This window comes from Homo sapiens, chromosome 11 (assembly GCF_000001405.40).
Source record: "Homo sapiens chromosome 11, GRCh38.p14 Primary Assembly".
NCBI lineage: Eukaryota > Metazoa > Chordata > Mammalia > Primates > Hominidae > Homo > Homo sapiens.
This window is the reverse complement of record NC_000011.10, coordinates 134,893,624-134,902,445: the sequence shown is the minus strand read 5'-3', so window position 1 is coordinate 134,902,445 and position 8,822 is coordinate 134,893,624. Positions and strand designations below refer to the sequence as shown.

General features: G+C 36.9%; 1 annotated feature.

The window, feature by feature from the left end:
* Positions 517-811: a silencer, noted in NCBI's record as "tiled region #927; K562 Repressive non-DNase unmatched - State 21:Repr". NCBI's record gives its function as "represses a minimal TATA promoter and a strong SV40 promoter by Sharpr-MPRA in K562 cells {active_cell/tissue: K562}" and the evidence as "EXISTENCE:reporter gene assay evidence [ECO:0000049][PMID:27701403]".

Here is an 8,822-nt window from a genome sequence, read left to right as displayed (position 1 = left end):
GCTTGGTTTGCATTCAAGCAGGTTAAAAGAAAGAGAAAAGGATGGATCCAGTGGTGAGTTAAAGATAGAGATGGGCCAATGGGTGTATGTCATCATCATCACTGAGGAAATCAAGGTAAAAAATGAGTTTGAAGGAAACCAGCTCTGGATGTCAATTCCAAATACCAATGCCTTTGTGAAGGAATAATGAGACTCTATTACCTGAAATGCAGACACACACACACGCACAGACGCACACACACACACAGACGCACACCTATTCAGCATAAACTCCATTCGACCTTCAGACATTCACTGATCATCTACAGTGTGCCAAACACTGTGAAAAGTGCTGTGGACAGTACAAACATTGGACAAGGGCCCACAGATAGTTTTAAACCAGTAGGGAAGGTATGCAGTTATCAAGTGTGCAGGTACTGGTAAAGAAAAGCCATTTCTCAAAATGCAGCCTTGGTCAGCTCACTTAGCTTTCAATGTCTTAGTTTCCTGAAGTGTAAACTGGTGGTGAAGGTACAGAAAATGGCTTCGAGAGTGAAAATAAATAGCCTCCCAGGGCTATGCAAACCAAAGGGAAAGGTCCACATGCACCCTGCAGGAGTCAGTCGAAAAGGCCTCATTGTGGAGAGCGCAGCTGAGGCAACCCAGGATTCCAACAGTCAGATTCCAGCATGCAGAGCACGGAGCAGGCCAGCGGATTCACACATTCATGTTACCCGTCTAGCAGAGCAGACCAGCAGGTGAGATGCACAGTGTCAGGCTCAGGGACAGCCCACAGTAGAGGTGGACAGGAGTGTGGGAGGCTGTGTGTGGGAGCAGAGGGGAGAAGCAGCTGGGAAATTGGGCTGAGACCAGACTTCGGAGCAGCCTGTGTGCCCAGCTGAGAAGTCTGAATGTGTCTGTGTAGCCGGGTGGAGTACACGGCAAACATCTGAGCAAAGGTGTGGAATGACCCCAAGCAGGGGACATGAACTTGCGGGCCCCAGGCTTAGCTTGATGCACAGACATTTTATTTGCTCAGGAAGGTGGGGTGATTTTAGCATTTAAAATTTGTTTTTACCTATGCATAGGGCCTTCTCAGCTCTAGTTTGCTACAGGAATCGTCCCACCCTATTGTTTTATGACCACAGATTTACACATTCATGTTACCTATCTAGTCCTAGAAAGCACATGAAGTTTTAACCCCTGAAAAAATAATCTGCTACCAGATAAAGGATGCAATGAAGATTGGAAGAGGATAAACAAATTAGGAAGGGCAAATTCTACACCCGTACCTAGACTGTCCGGCAACATCTTTCTCAACAGAACCTGGGCTGTGGTATGGCAGCCTTGAGGCTAAAGGGTCCAGGTGGGAGGGCTTCAAAACTTGACATTCTGCTAGATAAATCATTCATTGCTTTAACAACCAGGTTTAATCACTTACCATAGGACAAATTCTGTGTGACACATGAGGTACAGAGACAGTTAATGAGAATTGTTTACTGGTTTTCAGCACTGGATCAATTTTCCTGCAGAGAATTATATCAAATTATTTACTGCACTGTGTAGAACACATTTGAGACTTTGGGGAAATCACAAAAATATATAATTTACAGCTCTGGCCTTCAAGAAGCTCACAATCTCTTGAAGAAGCAGGATATAAACACAAAGATTTTTTGTGTTTGCTTGTTTTCCTTTTTTAAAGGAGGAGTTAAGCTACAGTAGAAGGGATTTCTCCATATAATAATGTATTTCTCGAAATAAAGTATAAAGTCAAACAACTTTGAGCCCAAGCCTTTTTACTAATTAGCTATGCAATTTTAAACAGATTGCTTAATCCTTTTGAAAAATGTTTTTCTCACTTATAATCTGAAAATTAAAATGAGTATCTTTCTTTCTCAGCAGATAGTTGTGAAAATCAAAGAAAATCGGAGAAACAATTTTAGAGTATAAAAAACTTTAATGATATTCGCTCATCTCTTTGATTTCCAGATAAGGGAAACTCTGACATAAAGTTTTTATGAGACATTTTCCAAGGCTACTAAACTGGTAATATTAATTGATAACACATTTGTTTCTTATGTATACGTATGGATTTCATAAATATTTGTTGTAAGCCTAGGCACAAGGCCATGTTTTGGGCTCTGCAGGGAGAGCAGGGGCACAAGACTGACACAACGTCTTCTGCCCTCTCAGAGCTCACAGTCTCTTAGGGAGACACTCAACACGTTAGTACAAGTGGGATACGGATAGCAAACATGAGATCCAGAGTGTAAAATGTATATGGCAGAGAGGCAGGCCCAGCCCATGATATGAGAAAAGGCCTCCTGAGGATGGCACACAGAAGCCAACAAGTAGGATGTAGATGTTTAGAAACACGTATTTTAGAAATATATCTGTGATTGTGGATAGAGACAGAACACACGTGTTTTGAATTGGAGTTTGATGTCCTTTATTTAAAAGTATCTTGTAGATTTCAAAGTTAATCTCAAGCATAAACAACTACAGGGGTGCATGAAATGTATAAAACAATAAATTTTATATACTGGACAGAAAGCAATGGGTGACTAATCCTCAAGACAAGAAAACATAGGAAGTGAGCACTACATGTACTCTGGCTTTATATCTGGAGGTAATTTTAGGACCACAGCAGAAGACGAAGCCAAACAGAGCCCAGAAGAATCACTGTGCTGAGGAGACAGAGATCAGAGTTTTGAGGGACCAGAGTAACTAGAATTTGCAGAGCAGTGTACGAAAGAAGCCATGCCAAGAAATCTGTATAGCTTCCCCTGTAGTATTTGGATATTCCAATCTGCATACCCATAGGGAGAAACATCAAGAGTCTAAACAAAAAATAACTTCTGAAGAAGGAAAATACATTAGCTATAAAACACCCACAGCTTACAGAGGACTGAGAAAGGTTCAAGTGCCAATTAGCCACCGTGAAGAGACGACATTGAACAAAGGTGATATTCAGCAGAGTAAGGCCTCCCTGAAATGCATTCTAGACATTTTAAAAGACAGGTATACAGACATGCATCAGTTTGAGAAATAAAACTGACGAACCAGTAACCTAAGTTTACAAGAACTAAGTCCACCACTCTTTCTAGGAATACAACAAAATACAGTACTCAGCCAATAAAAAACAACTGGTCAGGCAAAAAACAGCAAACGTGATCCATGACCAAATGAAAATTCAATCAGCAGAAAGACTCAGAAATGAGACGGGCATGATGAAATTAGCAGACAAAGTTAGGAAAACGCTGTAATACACACACTGAATACACGCAACAGTTTAAAGGCAAACATCAATATAATGAGGGGAAAAGCAAAACATAAAAATGAACCACGTGGAGCATCTAGAGATAGAAATAGGAATAACTGCAGATTAGACAGTGCAGAAGAAAAGATTGTAAACTTAAACTTGTAACAATATAACCTATCCCAAATCAATTCAGGGAAAATTAAAAGAGTAGGAAAGAAAAGCAGAATGACAGGTATTTAGGAAACAGTGCAAAGGGGCTCATGTATACATAATAGGAAACCCAAATGAGAGGAGGTAGAAAACGAAATATAGGAGGAAATAACCACAGAGAGTATTTAAAATTTGATAAAAACAATGGGACTATACAGCCAAGAATTCCACGCAGAAAAACAAAATAAAAGAAACAAACCAAAAGACCAAATCAAAGCAAGTTTACATCATAAAATAATGATAAAGAGAAATCTTTAAAATATCAAGAAATAAAATCATATTACTTACAATAGACCAAATACAAGAAAGGCCATAGCTATGTGGTTAGAAACTAGGTAAGGCAAAATTCAATGGAACAACATAATAAAAGAGTTAAAAGAAACATAGACATACTTCTAGAATTCTCTATCCAGTAAAATATCCCTAGGAAGGTAAATAATACATTTTTCAAACATATTAAAGCTGAAGAAATATGTTGCCAGCAAGGATACACTATAGTAAAGGTAAATAAAGTTATTTAGATAGAACTAGGGTATCAACAGAAAAAAAACAAAAACAAAAACAAAAAAAAAGTCCCTGAAATCATGACTTACATTATGAAAGTAGGCTTCTCATTTTAAAATGTCAATATTTAAAGCCAAAACACTAACAATGTATTATGGGGGTGAATATTAAATGTATACTTTGAATATAGATAGACTAAACATATTAATAAACAGGCAAAAATTGGCAGAATAAATGAAAAAAAAAACTCAACTATCTTGTGTCTACAAGTTGAACACTTGAGATTCAATGACACCCGAAGATTAAAAGCAAAGATACAGCATGCAAATAGTCATCAAAAAGAGCTGGAATGCTTATACTAATATCAGACAAAATAGAATTTGACACAAAAATTCTTAGGGAAAGACAAGACATTTTATAATGATAAAAGAGTTAATCACCAGGTAGACATAACAATTTCAAACATGTACACGTAATAACAGAGTGCCAAACTACATGAATCAAAACCTGACAACGAGAAAAGGAGAAATAGACAACTCAACAACAGTAGTTGTGGGCTTCAATACTCAGCTTTCAAAATGTGTAGAAAAACTCAACAAGATCAATAAAGAAACAAAAGACTTGAAAACATTACAAACCAACTAGCCCTAACAAACAAATGTGGAGCATTCCACCCAGTAGACCACCTGTTCTTCTCCAGTGCAGTTGGAATATTCTCTATGGTGGACCAAATGGTGAGCTGCAAAGCAAGCCTCAATAATTTTAAAAACAGCAAAATCATGCTAAGTATCTTCTCTGACCATAATGAAATAAAGTTAGAGCTCAATAACAGAAGAAAAACAAATATTTGCAAATTTGTGGAAATTAAACAACACAGTCTTAAACAACCAATGGATCAAAGAAAAAAAATCACAAGAAAAATTAGAAAACAACTTGAGGTAAATAAAAATGAATATGCAACGTAATAGAACTTATGGTGTACAGCTGGAGCAGTGTTTAGATAGAAATTAACAGCTGTTAATCTACTCTATTTAAAAAAGAAAAATTATCTCAAACCAATAACCTAATCATACACCTTAATATATTAGTAAAAAAAACAAAAACAAAAACAAAAACAAAAACAAAAAAACAGAAAAAAAAAACAAGGAAATAGTGAAGTTTAGATGGCAAATAAATGAACTAGAGAATAGAAAAACAATACAGAACATTAATGAAACCAGAGTTGGTTCCTGAAAAAGATGAACAAAAACTGGCAAATCTTTAGCTAAACAGATTAAGAAAATAAGGAAGAAGACTCAAATAATTAAAATCATTAACAGAATAGGGGACAGTCAATCCCAACCTTACAGAATTCTCTATGAATGATAAAGAAATACCATAAAAAATTGTGTGCAACAAAGTAGACAACTTAGATGAGATGGAAAATATTTCTGGAAAGTGATAAACTGTCAAAAACAACATCAAAAGTAATAGAAAATTGGATTATATCTATAACGAGGAGATAGTGAATTAGTAATAAAAAAAAACTTCACACAAAGAAAAGCCCAGGTACACATGTAATTCCTAAATACTCTTAAATAATTAAAGCAAGATGATATAGCTAATAAACCAACAGTGAAGATACAGTGGAATTATTAATAAATATTAAATACTTAATGAGTATTTACTTTTTATAATAAAAACCAAAACAAAGAATAAAAAGAAATAGAGCTAGACAACAGTTTTAAGACTGAAAAATATTAATAACATTAGATCAAAATAGTCTAAATACTTCCATAAAAAAGTGTTTATTAGAATTGATTATAAAGAGAAACCAAGACACTAGTATGGGGTGTCTATAAGAAAATCGTGTTAAACATAAACACACAGAAATGTTAAAAGTCAGTGAGCAGAAAATGATACACCATGGGAACATTGCACATGAGAGCTCTGAGTGGCAAAGATAATACCAGAAAAGCTAGAAAAAGAAAAGGGCTACGTCAGGGCCCAAAAACATTTTATAATAATAAAGGGGTAAATAAACCAAGCAGACATAATGATTCTAAATGTGTATGCAACCAAATAACAGAGATTCAAAATACATGAGGCAAAATTTGACAAAGTGGGAGGAGAGGTAGACAAATTTACAATTATATTTGGAGATTGAAGTACTCCTTTCTCAGTAATTGATAGAACATATAGACGGAGAATCCATAGTGGTATTGAAGAATTCAGCAAGTCTCTCAAACAACATGGCCTAATCAACATTTACAGACCACTCTGTCCTCCAAGAACAGGATGCGTATTATTGTCAAATATGCATATAATCTTCACCAAGAAAGACTACATGGGCTGGACATGGTGGCTTACACTTGAAATCCCAGCACTTTGGGAGGCCACGGCAGGCATATCACCTGAGGTCAGGAGTTCAAGACCAGCCTGGCCAACATGGTGAAACCCTGTCTCTACTAAAAATATAAAAAAATTAGCCGGGCAGGTGCCTGTAATCCCAGCTACTCGGGAGACTGAGGCAGGAGAATCGCTTGAACCCGGGAGGCAGAGATTGCAGTAAGCCGAGATCGCACCATTGCACTCCAGCCTGGGCAACAAGAGCGAAACTCTGTCTCAAAAAAAAAAAAAGAAGAAGAAGACAGACTATATGTTGGTTTATGAAATAAATATCAATAAATTTAACAGCACCAAAGTCTTGTGGAGTATGTTCTCTGAGCACAGCAGAATTAGATTAAAAACCAACAACAATATACTTCAAAAATCACCAATTATTTGGAACTTCAATGACATCCTTATAAATAACCTGTAAGTTGAAGGATAAATCAGGGGAAATTAGAGAACATTTTGAACCATATGAAAATAATAACACGACACTTCACGATTTGTAGTGTGCAGCTGAAGCACTGCTAAGATAGAAATTTATATGCTGACTGAAAAACAGAAGATGGTCTGCAATGAATTATCTAAGCTTCTGTATGAAGAATCTAGAAAAGGAAAAGTAGATTAAACCTAAAACAAGTTCAATAAGGTGCAAAAAATGTAAGTTTTAATTCCTGTACTTCCCAGACCAAACAGATGGGAGAATAAAAAACGTGAGCGATCTCAACAAATCCAAGATAAGAACAGTCTCAATTTTGTCATCTCATGTCAGCTGATTGCAGGGTGAGTCCAGCCAGTAGAGAACATGGTGATTCTACTGACAACAGTGCCCTATGCACCTTCGGGTGGGATGAGGGAGAAGAGGGAACCCAGAAAATGTTTTATGAGTTTTGATCTCCAGGAGAAGTCCTCGTGAGGACTTCTAGTGGTAAAGACTCAACCTCCTGAGTGAGTTCTTTAGTCCAACAGAACTAGCATGGGTGTGGACCAAAATACAATCTAGGCAGAATGAAAAACATCACACTTCCTACCAACACATGCCTACATGACCAAGACTCAAAAATAACATGTATGATTAACATTTGGATAACACTTCATAGGCATAAAACTTATCTCAAAAACTTACATTCTTATATTTCAAAATTCAGTATGTAATATTGAAGAGTATAACATGCACAAGAATAATAACATGATAACCTATAGGCTTATCACACAGCTTGAAAAATAAAACATTGCCACGATGCCTAAATCCCCGATCACCAACTCCTGAATGATTCATTTTCCCAAGGTATAACTACCACTAGTCGTTTTATAACATTTTTTACCACATATAGGTATTATTTTTATTTTAAAACTTTTTGTGAATGCGATTATATTATACTAAAACTTGCTTTTGTATATAATGTTGTGTTTGGGGTATTTGTTCATGCAGACACACATAACTACATTTTATTCATTTTTCACCAATTTCCCGTGTTCCATGTTATGACACCTTGATAGTTTATTTCTCTAAAGTTAACAGAATGTATTTGTCGGTTTTTGATGTATAGCAAATTACATTAGCGTCTCCCGCCCCCCTTTATTTATAGGTGATATGTTCCAAAACCCCTGTGGGATGCCTGAAACCGCAGGTAGTACTGTGCTCTCTATATACTGTTTTTTTCCTGTACATACACATGTCTATGATAAAGTTTAATTTATAAATTAGGCACAGTTAGAGATCAACAGCAACTGATAATATAAGAGAGCAATTTAACAATTACAACAATAAAATGTGATAAAAATCATGGGAATGTGGACTCTCTCTCTCTCTCAAAATACCTTAATATTTTCATACCACAGTAACTGAAGCTGTGGAAAGTGAAACCATTGATGCGGGCAGACTCCTGTATCTCAAAATCTCAATCATTTCCCGTATTTATATTCACTCTCAACAGTTTGCAAGCCGATTATGATTCAACTCATCTAGGCTGAGCTAGCCTGGACTCCAGGCTTACCTTGGGGGTCAGTTCTGCCCCCAGGCCGAAGGGGCAGTTGCAGCAATGGTTGTGCTTCCCGGGGGGGACCACCAGAGAACACTGGCTAAACCAAGCCAGGCAAGCAGATTGAAGGCCCTCGCCCACAATACATCTGCTACCACTCCATAGTTCAAACCCAGCATCAACTGGGTGGGGACGTGTGTTGTGCCTCCTCTAGAGGGAGAGATCACAAGGTTGTGTAACAAAGGTCGGGATGTATAATCCTAATACAAGAAGTGAGCCAAGCAGAAGCAAGCATCTCAGCCATCCAGCACTGTTAGGAGCATGTGCTGCTGGTGGAAATGTAAATTAATAGGACCATTTTAGGGAACCATTGGCATTAATTACCCAGTGATGACAAAGACGTTTAGCCTATAACCAACCCACTGCAGTCTGAAGTATATGACTTAAAGAAACTCTCACATTTACATTAACATTTTATAATATAAAAGTGCAAATATATTCATTATTTCAAGTAG